A 27,038-nucleotide genomic window follows, 5' to 3' on the forward strand; every position below is an offset into this window, starting at 1 on the left:
GGCTAAGAAAATATCTTTATGCGACTTTTCCTCAGTCATCATTTGACTCTACAGAGCACTATGTTAAATACTTTCTCAGGAATTTTGTAGGCATTTCTCTGTTGTCTTCTGGTTTTTAATTTGCTGTTGAGGAGGTAGATACCCTTCTGATTTGTGATCCTTTGTATGAAATCTATTTTTAATTCTCTAAGGACTCACGTACCGTTTTATTATCATGTTTTTCTCCAGCATTCTGAAAACACCATGATGTGTCTCTTGGTATGGATCTATTTTCGTCCAGTGTGCTGGGCACTTGCTGGGACAGCTCATCATGCGTATTCACACTCTGCAATTTTGGGAATATTTTCCCTATTGTTTATTTCATTTTTCTTCCCTCTGTTTTTTCTGGTTCATCTTTCTGGGACCCTTCTTGTGACTTTGGTGCTTGTGGACAGTCTTATTTTGTCCCTTTGCTTCATTTTTAGCTTTGCCTTTTTCTGACCCTTTTATTGAGCTTTCTTTGTTCTCATGTGTTCAGTTTCTAATAGCTCTTTTTTGTTTGTTTTCTGAAAATTTTTCGTAGTAGGATCTTGTTCTTGTTTTATGGTTAATTTTTTTTTTTTTCAATTTCTTCACTGAGGATGTTAATGATTTTTTGTTTAAGGGACTTCTTCTTGTACAGGTTTCCTCAGTTGTTTTTTCCAGTTCATGGGAGGTACACTTCACAGTAAAATTCACTCCTTTTAAGTACAATTTTTAGTTTTGACAAGCACAGTCATGTAACAACCAACACAATGAAAATATTGTTGGATTGTTTGGTCTATTAAATTATGTCTGTTTTCTATCTGCTCATTTTTTGTTTTTTTGTTTGTTTGTTTGTTTGTTTTTTAGATGGAGTTTCACTCTGTCGCCCAGGATGGAGTGCAGTGGCGCGATCTGGGCTCACTGCAACCTCCGCCTCCTGGGTTCAAGTGATTCTCTTGTCTCAGCCTCCAAGTAGCTGGGATTACAGGCACCTGCCACCACACCCGGCTAATTTTTTTGTATTTCTAGTAGAGACAGTGTTTCACCATGTTGGCCAGGCTGGTCTCGAACTCCTGGCCTCAAGTGATCTGCCCGCCTTGGCTTCCCAAAATGCTGGGATTACAGATGTGAGCCACTGTGCCTGGCCCCTGTCTGCTCCTTTGAAGAGTGCTGGGCTACCTGATGGTCAGCCAGCTCTCAAGATGAGGATTGTCTGTCAGGCCATTACCTTGGGGAACTCCTGATGTCAGATCATTTGTCTTTCCCCTGGCTGGTCAGATGTCCTAGAGAAGGCTGCCCCATTTCTTTTTGGGAGGGGTATGCATGGCTACCCATGGCCTGGGAGTCAAGTAGGTAAAGAGGACTAGAAGATGTCTGTCAGTATTCTGGATGTAAACTTGCTTTTAATTCTCTTGTTTTCAACACAATACCTGTGGTAGATGAGAGAAAGTGCAGCATCTCCTGAACCTGGGCATGAACATGTGACTTGTTTGTCAGCCACCGAGTTCTGGGATAGCTGCTGTTCAGCAATAGCTCACTGATAGGGTACCCTTGTCCTCAAATGTGCTTGGCCACTCAATCCTAAGACCAGCGTTTGACCTTCTCTAGAGAATCAGCATGCTGTTTTGGGAGTACAGAGGGAGGATTAGAGGTATAACAAGTTTTAAATTAGCCTTTCAACCAGTCTTCTCTTTTTTTTACTCCTACTGTAACCACACAATAGGTTCGTCACTTAATGCACACAGCAAGTCAATACGCAGAGACACTGGTTTGTAGCAGAGAAAGGTTTAACCATAGGGCCACCAATCAAGGAGACAAGAGGAATCCTCAAATCCGTCTCCCTGAGTAGTTGGGGGCTGGGGATTTTAAGGGTTTTGGAATGGGTTGAAGTGTGGAGATGATTGGAAAGAGTGCAGGGTGAAGTCAAGGGACAGGAGAGGAAGAAACAGTATTCTCATGCTGATTTTGTTCCTCTTCGGGGGGAAGGGAGGCTTCAAACTGGTTGATGTCAACTCTTCAGCTGGAATTCAGGATCTGAAAAAATCATAAGCAATTCTTAAAAGCCTTATGATTCTAATTAATGTCAGAGATCCCATCTATAAGAACAATGGGGGATGCAATTAATTCTTAAAAGCCCATGACTCTAATGTCAGAAATTCTATCTATAGGAACAGTGAGGATACAAGTGATCAGTATCTAGAGCTACATGACTTTTGGTTACAAGGAAGTGGGCCAAAGTGCAGCCTGATTAATGCTTAATTATAACTATATTTTTGTTCAGAATTCTTGTTAACCCTGTGAGGTTGGCTTCACATCCTGGACTTGAAAATATCACTGCTTCCTGAAACTTTTGGGACGTTCTGTGGTATTTTAGTTACTTCTTAGCTTTCTTTAGTACTGGCCTAGGTTTTTTGTTTCTTATTCCTGCATTTACCGTTGTCCATCAGTGTTCCAGCTTTTAAAATTCGTTGCTATTTTCTCCTCTTTCATGAGGTTTATTCCTTTAAGAAAAAATCCTTTATTGTAGTTTCAGAGAGGTTTTGAGAAGGAGCTGTGAAAGGAAAATAAATCTTGGGCCCCCAAATCACTAAGCCAAGGGAAAAGTCAAGCTGGGAACTATGTCAGGCAAATCTGCCTCCTATTTTCTTTCCAAATAAGAGCTACAAAATTAAAAAGCTACATACCTCCCTCAAAATTTGCCCACAAGGAACTTCCTTGTGGACAAAAGACAGAACTCAAAGTCATCCCTCTGAGGCTCACCTGAGACAAATCCATATCTGATTGCTTCCTCTACCCTATTGTTTATGTACAAATGCAGATACTGAGCTAGACTAAATTGTGTATTCAGTGGATAGCCGCTTGAGGACTCAAAAGAATGCAGTCTTTTGTCTATTATCTACTTATGACCCGGAAGACCCCTTCCCCGCCTCAAGTTGTCCTGCCTTATCAGACTGAACCTAGGTACATCTGATACATATTGATTGATGTCTCATGTCTCCCTAAAACGTGTAAAAGCAAGCTGTACCCCAACCACCTTGGGACACATATCAGGACCTCCTGAGTCTCTGTCACAGGCACATCCTTAACCTTGGCAAAATAAACTTTCTAAATTGATTGTGACCTGTCTCAGATACAGGTTTACAGAGCTGAGCTAAATGCAGGTGTTCAAACTGCCATCTTTACCTGGAAGTTTGATCCTGTGTTTTTAAAATAGCACTCCTCACCCAACTGAGTTTTATGGTGATAATTGATAACAGTGTATCCAGACTGGAAAATGCTGGCCCATTCCGGTTAACTGTGTGGAGGAGTCATTGAGAGTTCACAGGGCCTTTTAAAATTCACTTGTTCAGGTTACTTTTTTTCCCACTCAAACGTAAACTTATTTTTGTGTTAAGTTTAGCCAGATACAGTCTCTGGAAATGGTTGAAAGGAAGTCAAAATATTTTTTGGGGGCCAAGAGAAAAACTCCCCCTTTGCCCTCTGAAGATTCACTGAAAATTACTGACAAAAGGCATACAAATGTGTTTGATCATTGTTTTATGTGGCACAAATGCCTTCAGAATGCAGATCCAAAGATCAGAGGAAACTCTCCATTTTTATGCTTAGGTTCAGCAAAGTATGGACAGCCATGTAGAGATACGATTGGACAAAAAGGATATGATTTAATGCTAGTAGATACAGACTGAGTTGAGAAACCCAGCAAGACCCTCGGTTTAGATCCTTCCTGGTCTCTCTGCAGCACTCCCTCCTTGGTATGGGGCAGAATGGTCTTTGGAATGGGGGTCTTATGACCTACAGTCAGACAAAATAGGCGAGATAATTTCTTTATGTCCAGTTTTGGCATAGAAAGATTAGGGAGGGAGGAGGTTAGAGTAATATTGTTAAATTTTGTGAACCCCCAAAATGTGAGATAGGTCCCAGGTAATTTAGAAAGTTTATATTGCCAAAGTTGAGGACATGTGCCTGTGACACACCTCAGGAGGTCCTGACGATATGTGCCCAAGGTGGTCAGAGCACAGTTTGGTTTTATACCTTTTAGGGAGACATGAGACATCAGTCAACATATGCAAGATGAACATTGGTTTGGTCTGGAAAGGCGGGACAACTCGAAGCAAAGGCGGGAAGACTTGAAGCAGGGAGGGAGCTTCCAGGTCATAGGTAAATAAGAGACAAATGGTTGCATTCTTTTGAGTTTCTGATTAGCCTCTCCAAAAGAGGCAATCAGATATGCATTTATCGCAGTGAGCAGAGGGGTGACTTTGAATAGAATGAGAGGCAGGTTTGCCCTAAGCAGTTCCCAGCTTGAGTGATTTTGGGGCCCCAAGATTTATTTTCCTTTTACATTTCCCCCCTTTCTTTTAAAAAATCTTTTGGAGAAAGTATTTTAGAAGAAAATGAGTCTCTGGCTTCAGGTTTCTTCTGATCTCTCATGGCTAGGATTGTTTATTCCTAGACAGGTAGTTCCTGAGTTATTAGGAAAGTTCATTTTTAGCAGGTCGTGAAGTCTCATGTCCTGTGAAGAGAAAATAGGGGGAGGAAGGGAGAAAAGCAACAACAAACAAAAGAACAATCCTGGAAAATTGATATAGGCCACATTACTCTAAAGTCCATACATTAGTAGACAGGTATGAAAGTGGCTTATGTATGTAAATAGGTTGCTGTTGTTTGCTTCTGAAGTTTAAGTTGTCTAGCTTCAGTTTGCAGGGCTTTGTGAAAGCACAGCTTAGTTTTTGGTGACTCCAAATTCGGAACAGTGGGGAAAAAAGAAGGAAAAAAACCCCTGAAAACATTATTTTGCAGGGTTGTAGCCAAGAAAAATTAGAATTTGGTTCAAATTTTAGAAAATAATAAAATTGAAAAACATAGGCAAGACTAGAATCTAACAACAGGTGTGCTATAGTTTTTGAAACAATTTTTCTCTAGTTTCCCATTTTTACTAAAGACAAATCATGGTAGGACTGATTTGCTTTATCATACTTGGCCTTATTATTTGTATACAGTGCAGCAAGAATAATAATTACTTTTTTTACACAGGCTTTTAAATTGGCTTTGATGGAACTTTGTTCCATAGAAGGAATCTCAGATAAGACTCCTTTTTTAAAGCCGAGCCCAGCCATTATGGATTTGTACCATCAAATACTATGAGTTGGGTGAATTCCTTTCCTCTTGAGGTTCCAAGATAAACTTGGGCCTCCTAGGCCTGTCAGAAAGTGACATTCTTTACTTACCACAGCTCAGGAATCCTGTACAGGGACTGCATAGACAAAGGTGTAAGGTCAGTTTTTCCAAGGGGCTCCATAAGTCAGTTTGATTTCTTTATGGAAGACACACCATTCAAGTTAAAGCCTTGGTAAAATAACCAGTTTCTTTAATTGTGCCCCATTACGAATGAAAACAGATTCTTATTGCACTTATGCAAATAACTGTATTGTCATAAGGTAAGAATAGTCACAAATACTCCCCAAGTTTTATAGAAATCAGGTAGAGAAAAACAAATATGCCCCAAATTTGGTTCATAAGAGTATACTTTACTAAATTGTTAAAAGCTATAAATAGCTTAAAAGAAGTTTTTTTGACTCTGAAAAATAAAAGAAAGGATCAGCAACGTCTTAAGCAAAACGTTAAAAAGATTACTTCAGACTTCTATTAGTTTAGTCCCTGCAGTTAATTACTGTTCTGCTTGATATTCATGAATATTTCAGCTCTCTGAGTCCTGAAAGTTTTTCCTTTATTCTGATGTTACAATCTCTAAAGTTGTGAGAAACTTGTATTCAAGAGCACCTGTTAAGAGTTTTATAGCTGATTATAAAGCCACCTTCTAAAGAGGACCAAACAAGACAACAATTGTCATGGATGACAAAAAGTTTTAGGGCAGCTATAGTCAAGACACAGTTGACAAGGAGATTTGTTACCTCTGTAGCACATAGTAATTTAACATAACAATTATAATTATTACTGATAACATACATTAAGTCATATCAGAATTATAGGAGTTTCCCATAATTTTGGAACACATACCAATAACATTTATACAAATACAGCCCAGAGAAAAGCAAACACCATTTCATATTTGACAATGCTTCCTGTATAATTTTTATACCAAATAAGCCAAATTATGTCATTGTTTTAGATTTTAGGGAACCTGGTATCTTAAAGGATTAATTAGGTCAGAAAAAGACATAATTTATAATTTGATTTTGGAAATATTGTCAAATATCAAAGGTTTAAAACACTTGATATCACAAAAGAGGATCACAGGTCATTGTAAAATAAGTCATTCATTTAACCAAAGTGATAACCTAAGGATTTAAAAAAGAAAAAGTCAAAAACCTTCATTTTTTGAGAGAGGAGACTTAATTTGCCAAACAATAAGCCCTAATCAAAACATGAAGCTAATTAAATTTGTTTTCCAAAATGTATAAACAATTTATAAAATTTTAATCTTGAACATAAGATATAACTTCCATAAGTCTTTTATAGACTTTATAACCTTTATTAAGGAGTCGGTTAATGCCTCAAGATAACCTTGTTAATCTGACCCAGGTGCCCATATGCTGGTCTTGCATCAGTGTGCTTTTGACATTAATGTTTGATTTATAGTGAAACTGAACTTATTTTATCTCTCAAAATTGGCCCTTACAATCTCACACACCCACCTGTTCCACAGTAGTCCCTTGGCGTTGAGGAGTTGAATAGCTTTAATTTCTGGCCTGTGTCTCAGGAATGCAGTTTATTTTGATTGGCATCTTCTATGGGGCCTGATGATGAGGCTTTAATTACTGTCAGTATTTAAGATTTTACAGGACTTGGTATCCTTCTCAGACCCAAGAGTCAAAGCCCTGTAACTTAATGTTACAAGAACTTCAAAAGCACATACAAAAAGATACGTGGATGTAATAACCTTAATTTAAAAAAAAATTTGTCTCAGTTTTTTTTCGTAAGCAAATCAAAACTTAATGCCATAGGAATTATTTCCATAAAACGTAAAATCTGTTAGGCCAGTTACCAAAAGGCAAAAGGAAAGACCTTCTGCAGTGTACAGAATATTATGTTGGAAGAAAACATTTCCTTTAGACCTTTAAGAAATTATTGTTAGCATCAGGCCACAACAAATGGAACTTGAGGGGAAAAAAACTTATATGAGCTGAAAATGAGTTGGAGAACATTATTACTTTGCTCCTTTTAAAAGGGGAGAAAAAACTGAAAATGGTGAGATGTAATAAATGTCAAACTTCTAAAACAAAATTAAAAAATAATTTAAATTATTTTAAAATACATTATTAAATATAGTTTAAATATATATTATTTAAATATATAGAAATATATTTAATAGTTATGAGATACCATCTCACACTGGTTAGAATGGCTATCATTAAAAAGTCAGGAAACAACAGATGCTGGAGAGGATGTGGAGAAATAGGAATGCTTTTACACTGTTGGTGAGAGTGTAAATTAGTTCAACCATTGTGGAAGACAGTGTGGCAATTCCTCAAGGATCTAGAACCAGAAATACCATTTCACCCAGCAATCCCATTACTGGGTATATACCCAAAGGATTATAAATCACTGTACTATAAAGACACATGCACACGTATGTTTATTGCAGCACTATTCACAATAGCAAAGACTTGGAACCAGCCCAAATGCCCATCAATAATAGACTGGATAAAGAAAATGTGGCACATATACACCTTGGAATACTATGCAATCATAAAAAAGGATGAGTTCATGTCCTTTGCAGGGACATGGATGAAGCTGGAAACCATCATTCTTAGCAAACTAACACAAGAACAGAAAACCAGACACTGCATGTTCTCACTCATAAGTGGGAGTTGAACAATGAGAACACATGGATACAGGGAGGGGAACATCACACACTGGGGCCTGTCAGGGGGTGAGGGGCTAGGGGAGGAATAGCATTAGGAGAAATACCTAATGTAGATGATGGGTGGATGGGTACAGCAAACCACCGTGGCATGTATATACCTATGTAGCAAAACTGCACGTTCTGCACATATATTCCAGAACTTAAAGTATAATTTAAAAAAAAGAAAATAAATTTAATAATTATACTTTAATACTTATAAATATATTACTAATATAATCATATTTAATATAATTAGTATAATATAAAATACAACATATTAGTATATTGTTTTATTATTATAATTAATATATGTTAATATAAAACATAATAGATATATTTTAGATATATATTATACACACACACACACACACACACACACACCCCCCCCCCCACATGCACACATGTTTTTTGCAGCACTATTCACAATAGCAAAGACTTGGAACCAGCCCAAATGCCCATCAGTGATAGACTGGATAAAGAAAATGTGGTGCATATACACCATGGAATGCAGCCATAAAAAAGGATGAGTTCATATATATTATATAATTATAATTATGTATTGAAACATATATTAATAGCAAATATATCTTTAAATACATATATTTATTTAAAAACATAATTAAAATCTCTAATAATTTATTAAGAGTAGATCCCTTAAGAAATCAATCCCTTACTGTTCTAATAAATTCTTTAGTATATAAATGGTTTTTTTTAAATATCAAACCCAATCTCCAGAAAGACCATTATAATTTGTGTTTAATTATAGACAGCTTGATCTATAAAAGTTTTTTTTTTTTTTTTAATCCTTTTATTGTGCCTTAGACTCTTCATGACGTGCTTGGACTTTCTGGTTTGTCCTGAACATACCTCTTTCTTAAACAACCAGTCATTTTATTCTAGGCCCAAATTAACCATACAAGATTTTTTCTCATACAAAATTATTTCTCTTTAAGCTTTTTCACCAAAAAAACCCTTTTTTTTTATAGCTTTCTTTACATCTCTCTTATTTTGTGGTTCCTTTTACAACTTGTTTTATACATAACCTTTAAAAAAGCTTTGAACCAAACAAAAATTGTTCACCTTTTTAAGGACACTTATTTTTGAAAGAATATTTTCCTACAATATATTTTTATTGGAAAATACCCAAATAATAAAATATCTATAATTTAACTTTAGATTCTAAATTATGACAAGTTTGTCTACAAGTATTTATCCCATTACATTTACTTATTTTAATTGTTTAGATTATTTATGAAAAGTTTGATAGTCATTATTTAAAGTTATGAAACTTTCCATTGCAAAATTCGGAGACAGTGAAGAAGATAGGACCTAACGGACTCCATCTTGCTTCTAACCTTTACGGTGTCCTTGTTCATTCCTGGTCTTTGGGAGGAACTTAGTTTGTAGTTTAGCTTTGAAACAAAGACGTAACAGTCCTTTGTCTCATTTGCCATTATACATGCCATGGTCAGATCCTCTCACAGTACAAGGTGATCTCTGGTGCCCCCACAGCCAAAGAGGTCAGGTCACCCAATACAGGAAAACAGAGCTTTAGACCTAAGAAGAATCTGCCCATGACTCTTGAAACTCTGCAAAGAAAACAGAACACCCCAACTGCGGTGAGTGGCACCTTTGTTCTGAATTCTTTAAAGGGGTTCAACTCATTATAAACCTCTAGACTGTTTTTGGTACTGCAGATGGCAAAGGGGGAAGAAGGAGGTATAGGGTGGAAGAGAAGTAAATGAAAGAACATTTGTTTGTTTTTTTAAGACAGGAAGCAAACAGAAACCAAGTGCATAGTTTTTTGTTTGTTTGTTTATTTTTCCCTCTTTTGCAGCTGCGAGGAATTTTAGCGAAATTAGAAAGGGTTTGTTACCCATAATTTGGAATTCTTGCTTGGATTTGATCAAGTCAGGTAGAGTTGGTCAAATCTGTTGGGAGAAAGACTGCAAAAAACAACAACAATAAAAACCCTAACAATATGATCACCGAGTGCTCTAATGGTAAGGAGAGATTAAGACCAACTAGTTATTAAGCTTTAGACAAGAGAAAACCCCAATTCAACTACTTACCTAGGGATGGGTCTCAGGCTAAAGACTGCTTTCTACCGCTCTAGAAGCAGGAGGAAAAAAACAACAAAAAATGTTAAACTCATATTCCCTGCTGGGAGTGAGCTCAAACTCCATAAAGGAGTTACCTGCCTTCCATCGTCATGGAAACAGGAAATCTTGCATTCCTTGTTGGAATCAAGTAAAACTCCAAAAAACAAAAAGGTGGGGGGAGTTCTACAGCAAAATAAACTTTAGATTTTGACCAGATTTGGGGAGATCAGGGATTCTCTGGAGGGTGTACTCCCAGACCTCAGCAAATTGTCCTGTTGGTTTGAGCCATAAAATTAGCTCATGCTGGTACTAAGCACTGATAGATTTGTCAAAGGTCAGGGGTACCTCTACTCAGAATCCCTCTGTGGTTACCAAAATGTCAACCCTGAAAATCTGAGACAGGTTTCAGGTAATTTAGAAAGTTTATTTTGCCAAAGTTGAGGACACGTGCCTGTGACACACCTCAGGAGGTCCTGACGACATGTGCCCAAGGTGGTCAGAGCACAGTTTGGTTTTGTACGTTTTAGGGAGACATGAGGTGTTAATCAATATATGCAAGATGAACATTGGTTTGGTCTGGAAAGGTGGGACAACTCAAGCAAAGGCGGGAAGACTTGAAGCTGGAAGGGAGCTTCCAGGTCATAAGTATATAAGAGACAAATGGTTGCATTCTTTTGAGCATCTGATTAGCCTTTCCAAAGGAGGCAATCAGATATGCATTTATCACAGTGAGCAGAGGGGTGACTTTGAATAGAATGGGAGACAGGTTTGCCCTAAGCAGTTCCCACCTTGATTGATTTTGGGGCCTCAAGTTTTATTTTCCTTTCACAGTTTTATGTCTGGCTTTGGGGAAAAGGGAAAAGGAAAGTGGTTGTTGTTTCTGTGACCTGCTTTGGGGAGGAGGGATTCTAGTTTCTATGGCTATCCTCAGGAGCATGAGAGGCCAGAGTCAGGAGGGCAGAATAATTGAAAGAAACTTTTGCCTCTGAATATGTTTCTTTCTTTTTTCTTTGTTTTGTTTTGTTTTTTTTGAGACAGAGTCTCACTCTGTCACCCAGGCTGGAGTGCAGTGGTGTGATCTCGGCTCACTTCAACCTCCACCTCCCAGGTTCAAGTGATTCTAATGCCTCAGCCTCCCTAGTAGATGGGATTACAAGCATATGGCAACACACCTGGCTAATTTTTTTGTATTTTTACTGGAGATGGGGTTTCACCATGTTGGCAAGGCTGGTCTCGAACTCCCGACCTCAGGTGATCTGCCCACCTCGGCCTTCCAAAGTGCTGGGATTACAGGAGTGAACCACTGTGCCTGGCAGCTCCTGAGGATGTTTCTGAGGCTTTTATTTTGGGGTATCCTGAGCCCTAACAGTTTCATGCCCTACTTTTTAAACAAGTAAACCTGTAGGGATTTAAATGATTTTGGTGGATTTGCTCTTTAAAATTAAAGGCCTTTAACTTTAAAGGTAGAAGGTAAAGAAGAAGGTAAAGTACCTGAAAGCCAGAACTGGTTTAAACCAAAAACAGCATTTATTGCTCACTCTGCCTTCGGTTCTACCTTGATTAGGTAGTAGAAGGGAAAATGTTTATGCTTCTACTATGTAAGCACCATAAAACCTGAAAACCACATTTTGTGAAATAATAAAACTACATTTTCAGGTTTTATTGTAAAATGAAGGGAAAACAGAAGTACCAGTAGCCTGCCAAGTGCCACTGTCCCTAATCATGAGACGTTTAGAGGTACCAGCTGTGGGGTTTGCTTCTTGCCTTTCTTCAGAATCACAAGCTAATCATTAGCTTTCCTGCTCCTTGCACTTTCCAGAACTCTGGCCAGAAGAGGCAGGCAGGGGTGTTTACTCTACACGCTCCGGAGACCCTTTTGCTTCCCTGTTAGAAGCTTCTGGTGTCTAGCAGATGCAGATCTCAGTGGAGCACCAGAGGCTGCATATGCTCACTGAGCCAGTAGTGGGTCAAAACCCTTATGCTGTTTGTGGAACTCCATGCATCAGTTTGCCAAGGCTGCCATAACAAGGTTCCACAGACTGAATAGCTTAAAAAAAAAAAAACAGAAATGTGTTGTCTCAGAGTTCTGGAGGCTAGAAGTCTGAGATGAAGGTGTTGGCAGAATTGGTTCTCTGAGACTGTGAAGGAGAATCTGTCCTGTGCCTTCCTCCTAACTCTCTCGGTGGGTTGCTGATATCCTTTGGTGTTCCTTGGCTTGTAGGCCCATCCCCTGATCTCTGCCTGCATGTTCACATGTTGTTCTCCCTGTGGGCCTGTTTGTTTCTGTGTCAAAATTTCCGCTTTTAATAAGGACATCAGTCATACTGATTTAGAGCTTACTCTAATGGCCTCATTTGAATTTGATTACCTCTCTAAAGACACTGTCTCCATAAAACATCACATTCTGAAGTACTGAGGCTTAGAACTCCAATAGATCTTTTTTGTGGGGAACACAATTCAACCTAACATTCAGGAAGGATGAGGCTCACACCATTTGTAATCAGGACTTCTCTGTAGAGCTGCTGGACCACTCCTGCGGGGAGGCAAGTCACAGGTTGGGAGAAGGGAGAGTTGGAGAACTTGCTGATGGGAACAGGCTTAAAGTGTTCTCTCCTAGTGGGATCTTGAAGTCATTGTACAGGGGCCCAGACTTCAGTTGACCATTTTAACAAACCGGCAGAATTCCTGAGCCTCGTGTTGTGAATTGGGGCACAGAACTGTTTTAAAGGGAGTACAGATGCTCCCCTTGTGTTGTTGCTTATTGTCTGTTGGGGAAGATGGGAGAGTCTCAGGGCTTGCAGAAGTTGAGGGTGGAGTATGGGGGTATGCAGGGGAATCACAGTGGGCCCCCCAGCTGCAGAAACAGACAGTGCTCACCGACCAGGCCCTTCTCATGTGCCAGGCTTTGGTCAGGTACTGGGGTGGGCGGCTGGTGGTTGTGGTGAGGAGGCATAGCTCAGTTGGTTGTCGTGATCATTTAAGGCAAGCTTGTCCAACTCGTGGCCCAAGATGGCTTTAAATGTGGTCCAACACAAATTCATAAACTTTCTTAAAACATTGAGTTTTTTTGTGATTTTTTTTTTTTAAGCTCACCAGCTATTGATAGTGTTAGTGCATTTTATGTGTGGCCCAAGACAATTCTTCTTCCAGTGTGACCCAGGGAAACCAAAAGGCTGGACACCCCTGATTTAAGGTATATTCATTTGTATAAGAATAGAGAGGCCCTTGTGCATGGAGAATGTGTGTTACTATCTTCAGTGTCTGGTGTGGTGCCTGGCACTCCACAAATATTCAAAGAATTAATGCTACATTCATGTATGCAATATTTTATAAGTATATGGTAGAGAAGAAGTAGAGATAATGTGCCTTTTAGGGGAAGGAGAGCCAACTCCTTGTCCAGGACATGACAGCTATTTTTAAAACGTCCTTATCAGTTAGCAGTGTGGGGTTTTTTTTGTTTGTTTTTGAGAAAGAGTCTTGCTCTCTTGCCCAGACTGGAGTGCAGTGGCACTATCTCGGCTCACTGCCACCCTCCACCTCCTGGTCTCAGATGATCCTCCTGCCTCAGCCTCCTGAGTAGCTAGGGTTACAGGTACCATGATGCCTAGCTAATTTTTGTATTTTTAGTAGAGATGGGGTTTCACCATGTTGGTCAGACTGGTCTTGAACTCCTGGCCTCAAGTGATCCACCCACCTTGGCCTCCCGAAGTGCTGGGATTATGAGCATGAGCCACCGCGCATGGCTGTTAGCGATGTGTTAATGATTGGTTTAATATCTCTTGTGTGCGTGCGTGTGTGTGTGTGCGCGCGCATGTGTGCGCGTGCATGTGTGCGCATGCGAGAGAGAGGAGCATGCCAGTCTGCAGCCTTACCCCTGCCCTCCCTCTGCAGCGTTCTCTGTAAACTAATCTCAGAAGTGTCATATCATCACCTCCGCTTTGTGCCATTGGTCACTCACACAGACTAACTCTGGGACAATGGGAAGGGATGATCCAAAGGGATGAATGTCAGGAGGTGAGGATTATTGGGGCCCTCTTTGAGGCCACTTTCCAATGTTTTTGTAGTCTCAGATCTGAAGTTAGGATGGTTTCTCTAATACTACTTTTACTTTTTTAAACTTTAAAGTTCAGGGGTACATGTGCAGGTTTGTTATGTAGGTAAACATGTCATGGGGGTTTGCTGTACAGATTATTTTGTCACCCAGGTGTTAAGCCTAGTACCCATTAGTTATTTTCCCTGATCGTCTCCTTCCTCCCACCCTCCACCCTCTATCCTTCAGTCAGCCCCAGTGTGTATTGTTGCCCTCTGTTAGCTCCCACTTACAAGTGAGAACATGTGGTATTTGGTTTTCTGTTCCTGCGCTAGTTTGCTAAGGATAATGGCCTCTGGCTCCATCCATGTTCCTGAAAAGGACGTGATCTCTCTCTCTTTTTGTTTTTAACGGCTGCATAGTTCTGATAGTACTTTTGGAGAAATCTAAGAATTAAGAAATAATCTAGCAATACTATTTTTGCTGTTTTCCTTTTCAGCATATATTTCTCTTTGATAAGTTCAAAATCATAAGGTTTTTTTTGAACTTGCTTATTCAGCCAGCATTTTATTTTAGCTTTTTATTATGGCAAATTTCAAAGTTCAGAAAGGAGAGAGAACAATAAAATGAACTTCCATGTACTCAGCATCCAGTTTCAATAATTATCAGTTCACAGCCAATCCTATTTCATCCATACCTAAATATCCCCCTGAATCTTGTTATTTAGAAACAAATTCCAGGCATAATATCATTTCATTGTATATATTTCATATGTCTCTCTGGAAAATGGGGAGTCTTTTAAACACCACAACAATACTAAAAAGAGCAATAATTTCTAATAACATCAATAATTTTTAATAACATCAAATCTGGGGTTCAAAGTTTTTTTATTGTCTTATCCTTTAAAAGTATATTTTTTAGTTTGTTTGAATCAGGATCCAACATTACAATTTTCAAGATCTTTACGTTTTAGCCTTAGAGTCTTACGATTTTAGATTAGAAGGTTGGCCTCGGTCATTTCATCTGTCCCTACCTTTTTATAGATGAGAAAAATTGCCAAGGGTCACAGGGCTGGCTCATTTAAGATTAGAACCTGGACCTTCTGATTCTTAATCTCAGGTGCTTTTTGTTTTTAGCAGAAAACGTTGTGAAGGCTTGTCTTTACAAAAAAGTTTTCCATCCTTTGGTTTCTGTGCATTATAAGCAATGACATGAACATAAACTCACATCACTGGGACTTGGGCATTCAAACATGAAGGTTTGAGGTATCTTTATTCCAGCTACGAATCCTGCTCAGAGCCAAAATTTGATGGCTGTAACCACTGTTCTCCCTTTTGTCACCTTTTTAAGAAGGTTAGCTCTGAAGCTTGACTATAACGTCAGTGGTGCTGACTTTCTCACAAACATCCTAAATCTCTCCCAGTCTAGTGTGCTAAATTTGCTGACTTCCTCCCTTAGTCTTTCTGAATTCTGGCATTTTTAAGTGTATATATTCTTTTCCTCATATTTACTTAACAGTGTGGGCTGGAAACCACTCCGTGTCCATTCATAATGATCTTCCTCAGTCTGTTTTTATACCATTGGATTGTTTTAAAACCTTTGTAGTAAGTTGTGGATTTGGTTCTATGTTAGGAATTTTTTGTCGCACTTGTTTTGCCAGAAGCTTTAGGATGCCGTGGCATTCTCTTTCATCACAAGTCACTGACGAGGAGCTCTTAGCTTCGCATTGGAACAGGGTCTTTGCTGTGCTGTTTGCCTTTTCCCAGCTCCCAGGTTGAATCAGCAGTTAGTTTTGCCATTCATGGGGCTAGATCTCCTACCTCATGGTGGGCCATGCTGGGCTTTGGGAGAGAGCCTGGGTAGGACTTGGGACACTTAAATCCAGAAGAATTCTGAGAATCCTTGTCATGAACTCAAGTAAATGATCGTGGTTGCTCTTCCCTGTCCTCCGCAGGCCCGCCAGCTCATCCTGCAGTATGGCTTGACCCTCAGTGATCTGGATCGACACCCAGAGGTAAGATTGCCACTCAGAGGCAGACCACTGCGTATTTCTTTCCGCTTTTTTATGGCTGTCACTTGTTCATGGGCTCCAGATATCTTGTAAAATCTAGGGAAGATGTCAGTTAGTTGTACCAAGTTTTCTCCTGGGACCTTGAGTATTAATTTTGGCTGAGGTCACAAGTGCCGAGGTGGTTCCTTTCCACCACATTCCTTGTGGTTTAACCGCAAGGGCTCAGTGTGAATGTAGTGAAGGGAAGTGGGCAAGCCCAGGGCTATATCCAGGGCTTCCTGAGGTCTTTGTGCAGAGGTATAAGAGTGAGCCAGCTCATGGAGCTTGCCACTAAGTGGAAATAAGGAAGAATCATCTGAGGCAGCCATGGACATTTGAAAATATTAAAACTAAGCAGAACTGAAGGAAATAGAGACACAAAAAACCCTTCAAAAAATCAATGAATCCAGGAGCTGGTTTTTTGAAAGGATCAACAAAATTGATAGACCGCTAGCAAGACTAATAAAGAAAAAAAGAGAGAAGAATCAAATAGACACAATAAAAAATGATAAAGGGGATATCACCACCGATCCCACAGAAATACAAACTACCATCAGAGAATACTACAAACACCTCTACGCAAATAAACTAGAAAATCTAGAAGAAATGGATACATTCCTCGACACATACACTCTCCCAAGACTAAACCAGGAAGAAGTTGAATCTCTGAATAGACCAATAACAGGCTCTGAAATTGTGGCAATAATCAATAGTTTACCAACCAAAAAGAGTCCAGGACCAGATGGATTCACAGCCGAATTCTACCAGAGGTACATGGAGGAACTGGTACCATTCCTTCTGAAACTATTCCAATCAATAGAAAAAGAGGGAATCCTCCCTAACTCATTTTATGAGGCCAGCATCATTCTGATACCAAAGCCGGGCAGAGACACAACCAAAAAAGAGAATTTTAGACCAATATCCTTGATGAACATTGATGCAAAAATCCTCAATAAAATACTGGCAAACCGAATCCAGTTGCACATCAAAAAGCTTATCCACCATGATCAAGTGGGCTTCATCCCTGGGATGCAAGGCTGGTTCAATATACGCAAATCAATAAATGTAATCCAGCATATAAACAGAGCCAAAGACAAAAACCACATGATTATCTCAATAGATGCAGAAAAAGCCTTTGACAAAATTCAACAACCCTTCATGCTAAAAACTCTCAATAAATTAGGTATTGATGGGACGTATTTCAAAATAATAAGAGCTATCTATGACAAACCCACAGCCAATATCATACTGAATGGGCAAAAACTGGAAGCATTCCCTTTGAAAACCGGCACAAGACAGGGATGCCCTCTCTCACCGCTCCTATTCAACATAGTGTTGGAAGTTCTGGCCAGGGCAATCAGGCAGGAGAAGGAAATAAAGGGTATTCAATTAGGAAAAGAGGAAGTCAAATTGTCCCTGTTTGCAGACGACATGATTGTATATCTAGAAAACCCCATCGTCTCAGCCCAAAATCTCCTTAAGCTGATAAGCAACTTCAGCAAAGTCTCAGGATACAAAATCAATGTACAAAAATCACAAGCATTCTTATACACCAACAACAGACAAACAGAGAGCCAAATCATGGGTGAACTCCCATTCGTAATTGCTTCAAAGAGAATAAAATACCTAGGAATCCAACTTACAAGGGATGTGAAGGACCTCTTCAAGGAGAACTACAAACCACTGCTCAAGGAAATAAAAGAGGACACAAACAAATGGAAGAACATTCCATGCTCATGGGTAGGAAGAATCAATATCGTGAAAATGGCCATACTGCCCAAGGTAATTTACAGATTCAATGCCATCCCCATCAAGCTACCAATGACTTTCTTCACAGAATTGGAAAAAACTACTTTAAAGTTCATATGGAACCAAAAAAGAGCCCGCATTGCCAAGTCAATCCTAAGCCAAAAGAACAAAGCTGGAGGCATCACACTACCTGACTTCAAACTATACTACAAGGCTACAGTAACCAAAACAGCATGGTACTGGTACCAAAACAGAGATATAGATCAATGGAACAGAACAGAGCCCTCAGAAATAATGCCGCATATCTACAACTATCTGATCTTTGACAAACCTGAGAAAAACAAGCAATGGGGAAAGGATTCCCTATTTAATAAATGGTGCTGGGAAAACTGGCTAGCCATATGTAGAAAGCTGAAACTGGATCCCTTCCTTACACCTTATACAAAAATCAATTCAAGATGGATTAAAGATTTAAACGTTAAACCTAAAACCATAAAAACCCTAGAAGAAAACCTAGGCATTACCATTCAGGACATAGGCGTGGGCAAGGACTTCATGTCCAAAACACCAAAAGCAATGGCAACAAAAGACAAAATTGACAAATGGGATCTAATTAAACTAAAGAGCTTCTGCACAGCAAAAGAAACTACCATCAGAGTGAACAGGCAACCTACAACATGGGAGAAAATTTTCGCAACCTACTCATCTGACAAAGGGCTAATATCCAGAATCTACAATGAACTCAAACAAATTTACAAGAAAAAAACAAACAACCCCATCAAAAAGTGGGTGAAGGACATGAACAGACACTTCTCAAAAGAAGACATTTATGCAGCCAAAAAACACATGAAGAAATGCTCATCATCACTGGCCATCAGAGAAATGCAAATCAAAACCACTATGAGATATCATCTCACACCAGTTAGAATGGCAATCATTAAAAAGTCAGGAAACAACAGGTGCTGGAGAGGATGCGGAGAAATAGGAACACTTTTACACTGTTGGTGGGACTGTAAACTAGTTCAACCATTGTGGAAGTCAGTGTGGCGATTCCTCAGGGATCTAGAACTAGAAATACCATTTGACCCAGCCATCCCATTACTGGGTATATACCCAAATGAGTATAAATCATGCTGCTATAAAGACACATGCACACGTATGTTTATTGCGGCACTATTCACAATAGCAAAGACTTGGAACCAACCCAAATGTCCAACAATGATAGACTGGATTAAGAAAATGTGGCACATATACACCATGGAATACTATGCAGCCATAAAAAATGATGAGTTCATATCCTTTGTAGGGACATGGATGAAATTGGAAACCATCATTCTCAGTAAACTATCGCAAGAACAAAAAACCAAACACCGCATATTCTCACTCATAGGTGGGAATTGAACAATGAGATCACATGGACACAGGAAGGGGAATATCACACTCTGGGGACTGTGGTGGGGTCGGGGGAGGGGGGAGGGATAGCATTGGGAGATATACCTAATGCTAGATGACACATTAGTGGGTGCAGCGCACCAGCATGGCACATGTATACATATGTAACTAACCTGCACAATGTGCACATGTACCCTAAAACTTAGAGTATAATAAAAAAAAAAAAAAAAAAAAAAAAAAAAAAAAAAAAAGAAAATATTAAAACTAAGTTTTGTGGTAAAGACTAACACAGGGGCAGTCCAGAGGAGACTGATGTTGGTGAGGGTGAGCAACATCACAAACCCTACCTGGCATTTTCTGAGCCATTATTATGTACCAGCTTTTGTGCTAAGTGCTGTACCTGTATTAAACTGTTTTATTTCCAGTATTCTTGAAGATAGGATACCACAATTTTCCCATTTTATAGATGTGAAAAAGGCACAGAGAGGGTAAGTCATATGGCTAATGCCACAGGTTTTAAGTGGCAGAATCAGAATTTGAACTCAGGCACATCTTTTCTAGACTAATGCTAGTTTGAGTTTTTTGGGAAGAGGTAAAGTTTGAATTGGGCTATAAAGGCCAGGTGGCAGGGGCAGGAGAGAACATTCCAGAGAGTGGTAGACGGGAACCACAGGAACAGCTCCATGTGGGCAAATGGACACTGCTCGGACTGGCTGGGGTGATAGGACAGAGTGAGTGTACTGCGTTGGTGCATAGTGGGGAGAGGGAAAGCAAAGCTGGATAGGAAAAGTGGGGTGGTTTTATGGCACCTGGAAAACCAGGCAGGTTGAGACTTGATGGTGATCTGGTAGCCCATGTTTCTGTCATACACATGGGCCTCACAGGGGTTAGTAAGAACTATGGGAAGGACTTGGGGATTTCTGTGGGCAGAGCCAGGGGCACAGGCTGATCATGTGTTCAGCAGCTGTGAAGAGAGTGGTTTGGGCTGAAGGTGGGCCTGGAGCCCAGACAGAAAAGGTTGCCACTTTCCATACCCCTGAGAATTGCCAGAGTGCAGCCTGGCTCTGGGGTTAATGCAGGCCTGGGGAGAGCAGTGCCTGCTGTAACTTCAGACAAAGGCTGGAATCTGTAAAAGGCTGGAAGCAAGCATGACCCATATGAAACTGTATTTTTTATACCTGTGCCATGCCAGCCATGCCAAGCAACTTAGTAACTGCACCATGAATAGAATTTGTACCCTGCATACTACTTGCTGTCTTTAAAAATATACTCGGGGTTCCTACAATGTCCATGCAGAGTACCATGAGTGATGAGAAATGTGTAACTTTCTTGATTTTGATTTTTAAAAGCTAGATGAACCCATTTGCCCCTCAACTGCTTTTGGGGCTTGTGGTGGAGCTTCCTAATAGAGGGAGCGGGCAAGCCCAGACAAGTGGGGTCTTAGTGGCAATGCCCCAGTAATTTCCAGTTCGGGAACTCATCAGCTTTCTTGTGTATCTCTTCATTTGATCCTCATGTCCACTTAAAATTGCCTGTGAGGTTGCTCACAGTTAGTACAGAGACTTCTGAATCAGTTTTTTTTTTTTGCATTTTTCCCACCCCCAGTGGAATTTAGTAGCACAGATATTACTGTATTGGCCCTTTGGTGGGACAAAACTCATTGTAATGTCTAAGATTTTTTATTCCCCCACCAAAAACTAATTTTTGCCTCTTGGGGGAGGTGATAGCACCCACACTGAGAACACGTGCTCTAAATAACGCCAGCTTGTCCACAGAGAAGCCCATCAATGAGAAAAGGGAACATAGTCTTGTGGGTAAGAACTGCATCCCGGTTAGAGTCCCAAGTCCTGTGCTGTTTCCCTTTGATCCTAGTGGAGCAGCTTAACCTCTTGTAGCTCAATTTCTTGATTTGCTAAATGGGAGTACTAGAATTAGCTAACAGGGCTGCTGAGTATCTGATGAGCTATCGCATGCTCAGGCAATTAGCAGAGGCTCCCCTCGAGTGGTTTTTGTATCTTTACCTTTCCCCCAATACAGATCGACCTTGCCATCGATGGTGCTGATGAAGTAGATGCTGATCTCAATCTCATCAAGGGTGGCGGGTGAGTGTTGTGGGGGCTTCTGTGCTAAAGAGTATCTGCCAGTTAATCCTTAGCAAAGCAAGATGGATACAGAATAAACAAATTGCCACTGTGACATATGCAAGTTTGTCTTTCTCCTAGGATATTGATAGCATATGGCCTTAGACCCAACTCAGCATTTCTGGTCATTAGCAGCAATTTACTGACAAGGAACCTGGGCCTCTTTAGTGAGATCATTCATCGTAATGGATTCTCTGTGGATTTGTGTTCTTTTGTTGATTCAGACTTTAAAAACTTAAGGCCAAATCAAAATAATACTGGGCTAGATTGTTAGGTCTGTGGGCACCAGTGTGTGACTTTTGCTTTAAAGCTGTGCTTACTTCTGTGAGCAGTTAGGGATATTATTTGTTCCTTTGGAAAACATTAATTGGGTATTTCTTAAGTGCTGATTTGGGGAGTGGTGGGAATGGTGAGTTGAAAAAGGTGAAATCCTGTTCTGCTGGTTCTTATAATCAAGCAGACTATTGAGTGATGCAGCATTTGTTTAAAATCACACTTTACTGTTTATTAGATTTTCTTACGTGTTACTTAATCCTGTCAACTGCAGATGTGAGATAGTTTAGCTGCTAAACCCTAGAGGTAGACCTGGACCCAAATCTGCTGATTCAGTGCTCTGGGCTCTCTCCACTTCATCACCCTCATTGGCAAGTAGTCGACTGGGCGGGTTGTTCAAAGCGTGCCCTCCTCAGCTTCTAGACCCTCCCATTCATGCCATGTCCAGATGACATCTCCCTGAACACAATGCTCCCTCTCAGACACATTTGGATGGAATTATGCCTGGCCTGAATGGGAACCTTGTCTGCTTTCTAGGTTTCTCCCAGACAGGGGTAATGTTTCTAGAGTCCATTTACTAGGAGCAGCATGATGGGACTGGGGATGTCCCTTTAAAAATTAAAAGTTAAGTTTCTCTTTAAGTGCCAGGATTGAGTGGATTTGGGATTCCTGTATTTAACCTTAGTTCCCAAACTGAGATTTTTGTCTTACTCCTGTGTTCCTTTGCTTCTTTCCTGCAGAGGCTGCCTGACCCAGGAGAAGATTGTGGCTGGCTATGCTAGTCGCTTCATCGTGATCGCTGATTTCAGGTACAGTTTCTGGTGTCTGAGCTGCCAACTGAGGAGGTAGATTGGATCCCCAAGCCGCATCCCCATTTTTGTGAAAGAGGAAATGGAGAGCTGCAGGGACTGTCTGACTTTCTGAGACTGATGGCTAGGACTTAGTACAGTGTCTAGGAGACCTTATGTTCTGCTTGTAGGCTGAAGGTAGATGTTGCTAATCACAGCACTGTTATCCGCAGCCAGGATCTCTAGCATCGTTTCATGTGTTCAGTGGAACGGGGAAACAGCTTGTCACCCTGTTAGCAGAGCATGCTCTCATGTGTCATGTCACTCACTGGATCCTCACAGGGAGCCTCAGAGGAGGCAGGGTGTGCCCTGCCCACGGGCAGTGACTCAGCATACCCTGCTTCTTCTCGGGTCAGGGTTTGCCGCAGGTGACTGGTGTCATTGATAGTCTTTGACCAGGCTCTCAGATGCTCCTTCAAGGAATGTAGTCAAAAGCACTTGTGCTGAGCATGTTAATTTCAAATATGTGTATGTGTATATTTACTTGTGAAATATAGCCACAGGACGAGCATAAATATTAAACACCTACATACCCACAAGCCAGCAATATCAGATTTTAACATTTTTGTCATATTTATTTCAAATAGCTCTTTTCCTATATAGTGAAACAGCTAATTCATTTGTAGCCCCATGTATATTGCCCTTGATCACTTTCCTTGCCTTCCCACCATCTCATTAACCCTGTTCCTGAATTTGGTGTTTGCCTGTACTGTTGAGCTTATTTACTTTTATTGTACTTTCTGACTCCTTCTTTCCAGGAAAGATTCGAAGAATCTCGGGGATCAGTGGCACAAGGGAATCCCCATCGAGGTCATCCCAATGGCCTATGTCCCAGTGAGCCGAGCTGTGAGCCAGAAGTTTGGGGGCGTGGTTGAACTTCGAATGGCTGTCAACAAGGCTGTGAGTGGCCTGGTTGGGCCGGGGGTGTGCTGGGTGCACTCAGGTTTTCAGTGTGGTGTCCTCCCTTCTGTTGCAGTTAGGTCATGTGTGCTTCCACCAGGCAATTGGCTTTTATTTATTTTTAATTGATGTATTTGTTTATTTTCGGAGAATTGGCCTGTTAGTTTCTGCATTCAAACTCGTGTAGACAAGACCACACTTAATACAGTGCATCTCCTTTGTACAGATAGGGGAATGATTCTTTCTCTGTGCCTCAGGTTCTGACATCCCACAGGTGATCTGACCTTTGTGCCTGAGGCCTGGAACACCCTGATTGGCAGCTGTGAAACCCTGGCTTTGGGAACTGCTTGGAACAGAAAGTTTTTTAGGTTCCATGGTGTAACTTCTTTTCTCCCTCTTCTTTCCTCTCATTCTGTGGTTAAATGTGACAAGAAGTAGAATTTCTTGGGGTGTGTGAACTCTTCCCAAGGAATACTCTCCAGATGGTCCAAATTTTTCGTGTTTCTCTTTAGCTTCTAAAGTGGATTGCGCATAACTTTTCCCTCTTTTTATACTTAAGTAAACAAATAAGCAAAGACAGCAATCCAGAAGCTAACCACAGTTACATATGTAACTACGTAAACATTTTGGAGGATATCGAAAAGATCTGTCACCCTACCCTGATACATTTTTATTTTGATATATTTTGTCCCCACTGTTTCTGTGACTTTTAAAAAAAAACCGTAGTTCTGTTCCTAGTGGTTGTACAGTGCTCTGACTGACGTTCAGATTGTCGGCACATGAAAGAAATGTAGCACAAAATGGAGAAGTCGTTCAACCTTGACCCTGTCAGAGTTCTTATTTGAAAGCCACATTGCTGCTAGTGTTCTTATTGTGTTTTGGATTCTGTTTCTTGCCCTTTTTCTTATTAGCCAAGTAGTAACTTAAGGAAGCAGATAAGAACAATGAATTTTGGACTAAAGGAAGTAAGAACAATGAACCAGAAATCAGATAGGAATGTGGTGATAATTGTGACATGGTCACATAGTCATAGTGGGAGCTCATGTGAGTAAAAATAGCTTGATACATTTGTTAAGAGGCTTGTATCCTCTCTCTCTCTCTCAAAAAAAAAAAAAGACTACAATCTAAGTCTTTCTGATTTCAAAGCTCCTGCTTATTACCACTTCACAGCACACCTAGAAAGCATAAGGTGGGAGCAGGTTAAAATGCATACTTGTCTTTGGTTATCCCCTCTACTTTCCTGTCCTTCTCTGCCTACCTGTATCTGCATCCTTGGTCACTGTGGAAAATTATCTTCTAGGGTCCTGTGGTGACAGATAATGGGAATTTTATCTTGGACTGGAAGTTTGACCGGGTACACAAATGGAGTGAAGTGAATACAGCTATCAAAATGATCCCAGGTAACATGAGTGGTGTTCACCAGTCATATACACACCCATGGCCTTCATAACTGGCCCCTACATCTGGCCACAGAAGGCACAATGGACATGGGCTTTGTAAGGCTTGGTTGGAAAGAAGAATTCCCTTTATACCATGTTTGGGTTTTTAACTTCACCTCCTTTGCCGTATTCCCTTCCCCCAACAATTGTTGCTTACCTAGCAGCTTTGTTGCTTGTGCATTTCACAGCCTGTTTGAGTTAAGATAGTCCTGAAGCTGATGGAAGTTCAGAGGGGACTTGCCTTGAAATAAGGCCATCGTCTCTGGGTAGAACCTTTCCTTCCAGGAGCTGGACTACAGCCTTTTTTTGTGGGTTCTCTTCTTAAGTAGCGGGGAAAATGACTCAGTTAATCCACATTCATTGGATGCATGCCAAAGGCAAGATGTTGTGCTGTGTGTTACAGGGGATACTTCGATCTGGAGGACTTGTAATCTGTCCTCAAGGAGAATTGATGTAAACCTGGGGAAATCTGTGTGTGTGTGTAGAAGCCATGCCTACAAATAAGATAGAATGTGCTCAATTCTACTAGAGGAATACCAAGAGTCTAGAGTGCACAAAAAGTTTCTTTTTGGGAGAATGTGAGGATGTTCTATGGTGTAGAGGTGGTTTTTCATCCATGCCTTGGCATAACATAAGTTAAACACGGTGCTAAACGTCTAAAAATATTTCCTTTGATTCCCACTTTGATGAGGTAGTTACAGAGGAGGGCACTGGCTGAGAAAGGTTAAGCCATTTGCCCAAAGACAGCACCAAGATGGGCACCCTAAGTTGTCTGCCACTAGACCCTGAATGTTTAATGCTTACTTGCTGAAGCACCAGGCGAGGAGAGGCTGTGTGAAATGAACATTTAGAGCCTTGGGGAGCTTCTAATGCAGCTGTGCCAGGGAATGATGGAATAAGAGCCAGGATGGCCCTGCGTGAAGGATGGGTGGGCAGTGTAGAGATGAGTTATGAGGCTGGAGTCCTGGTTGAGGCTGGAGTCCTGGTCCAGGCTAGAGGAGGTATCAAGGGCTCGTACAGGGGGATTAAAAGGAGGAGGCAGTCTTGAGAGGTATCAGCTTCTTAGGATATTGCGAGACTAAGAGGCTAACGGAATATTCCCTATCATGGAGTATTCTTGGGCCAGAACTGGCTGACAGGACCTTTCAGGCCAGTTTAATGGAGCAGACTATTCTGGATAAGGATCCTAACCCAGCTGTGCTCTGGCGTGTTACCTTTTAGCAGTTAGTTAACATCTCTGTGCCCGAGTTTCTTCCTATGTAGAAGGGGCTAGTTAATTCTAGTGCCTACCTTATAAGGTTGTTGGGTGGATTAAATGAGTTAAAACCGTGCCCATTGCAGAAGGGAAAGTGTTTGTTGAATGAATAAATCCCTTGAAAGAAAGGTACTATTGTTATTTTTAATTAAATATACTAAGATTCTAAGATACACCTGTGCTAGTTGGGATTTAAAATAGTGTGAATATAAGCTGTGTAATGAAAAGCTAGTTCTTCCAGTTCTACTTTATTTATTAATTTTTTGAGATAGGGTCTCGCTCTGTCACCCAGAGTGGAGTGTAGTGGTGTGATCATGGTTTACTGCAGCATTGACCTCCTGGGCTTAAACAGTTCTCCCATTTCAGCGTCCCCAGTAGATGGGACTGCAGACACACACCACCAGGACCGGCTAAGTTTTGAATTTTTTATAGAAACGGGGTTTCACGATGTTGTCCAGGCTGGTCTTGAACTGGGCTCAAAGTCTCCCTTGGCCTCCCAAAGTGCCAGGATCACAGGTGTGAACCGCTGTGCCTGGCCCCAATTCTACTTTAGTTTGTTATTTTAGTTTAGTTTGTTATTGATAGTCTTTTACCACGTTAAGTCAAAAACATGAGTTGGCTTATACTCATTTTCTTGGTTAGTGTTCCCTCTTTAGTGGAAGAACTAAACAGCCAAGAAGGTAGGAGGAAGAGAAGATTTGCAAATCACTGTTAGTAAAATGGGAGAACTTGCCCTTGGTGATAATGCAAACAAACCCAGGGCCCCAGGAGGAAAGGGCTCACCAATGTGGCTGCCGTATAGGTGGAGTTCTTGCAGTGCCCACTAGGTGTCACTCTTGCTCCTGGTTAGACCTTGGCTGCTTAAGGTTCTGAAATGTCCTTTGTAAGGAAATTTCCCTCATATGTGATTCTTCAAAAAAAAGTATGTAGAAGCTGCGTCCTAAAGACGTTCAGAGTTTTGTTAGGAACTTAAAGTGAGGAAAATGATA

General features: G+C 40.6%; 1 protein-coding gene and 1 long non-coding RNA gene across 4 annotated transcripts in view; one reads left to right on the forward strand and one right to left on the reverse strand.

The window, feature by feature from the left end:
• Positions 1-27,038, forward strand: part of RPIA (ribose 5-phosphate isomerase A) — a 59,257-nt gene that overhangs the window by 21,649 nt on the left and 10,570 nt on the right. The window contains exons 4-8 of one of the 2 annotated variants that reach the window (NM_144563.3): positions 15,957-16,016; positions 21,231-21,295; positions 22,348-22,416; positions 23,214-23,355; positions 24,656-24,755. In NM_144563.3, coding sequence (NP_653164.2) covers positions 15,957-16,016; positions 21,231-21,295; positions 22,348-22,416; positions 23,214-23,355; positions 24,656-24,755 — 436 coding nt within the window. Of the gene's footprint in view, positions 1-15,956; positions 16,017-21,230; positions 21,296-21,881; positions 21,979-22,347; positions 22,417-23,213; positions 23,356-24,655; positions 24,756-27,038 lie in introns of those variants that run through there. The other variant, XM_047443733.1, reaches the window with a different exon arrangement.
• Positions 1,951-10,021, reverse strand: LOC105374853 (uncharacterized). 2 transcript variants are annotated; one of them, XR_007087133.1, is made up of 3 exons: positions 9,943-10,021; positions 6,660-6,782; positions 1,951-2,037 (listed from the first exon to the last, which is right to left on the reverse strand). It is a non-coding gene; the product is annotated as an uncharacterized LOC105374853 (long non-coding RNA). The 2 variants fall into 2 exon arrangements; XR_940341.4 differs by lacking the exon at positions 9,943-10,021 and adding an exon at positions 2,438-2,504 and having other exon boundaries at positions 1,962-2,037; positions 6,660-6,734.

Source organism: Homo sapiens, chromosome 2, assembly GCF_000001405.40.
Source record: "Homo sapiens chromosome 2, GRCh38.p14 Primary Assembly".
In the NCBI taxonomy this organism is placed as follows: domain Eukaryota; kingdom Metazoa; phylum Chordata; class Mammalia; order Primates; family Hominidae; genus Homo; species Homo sapiens.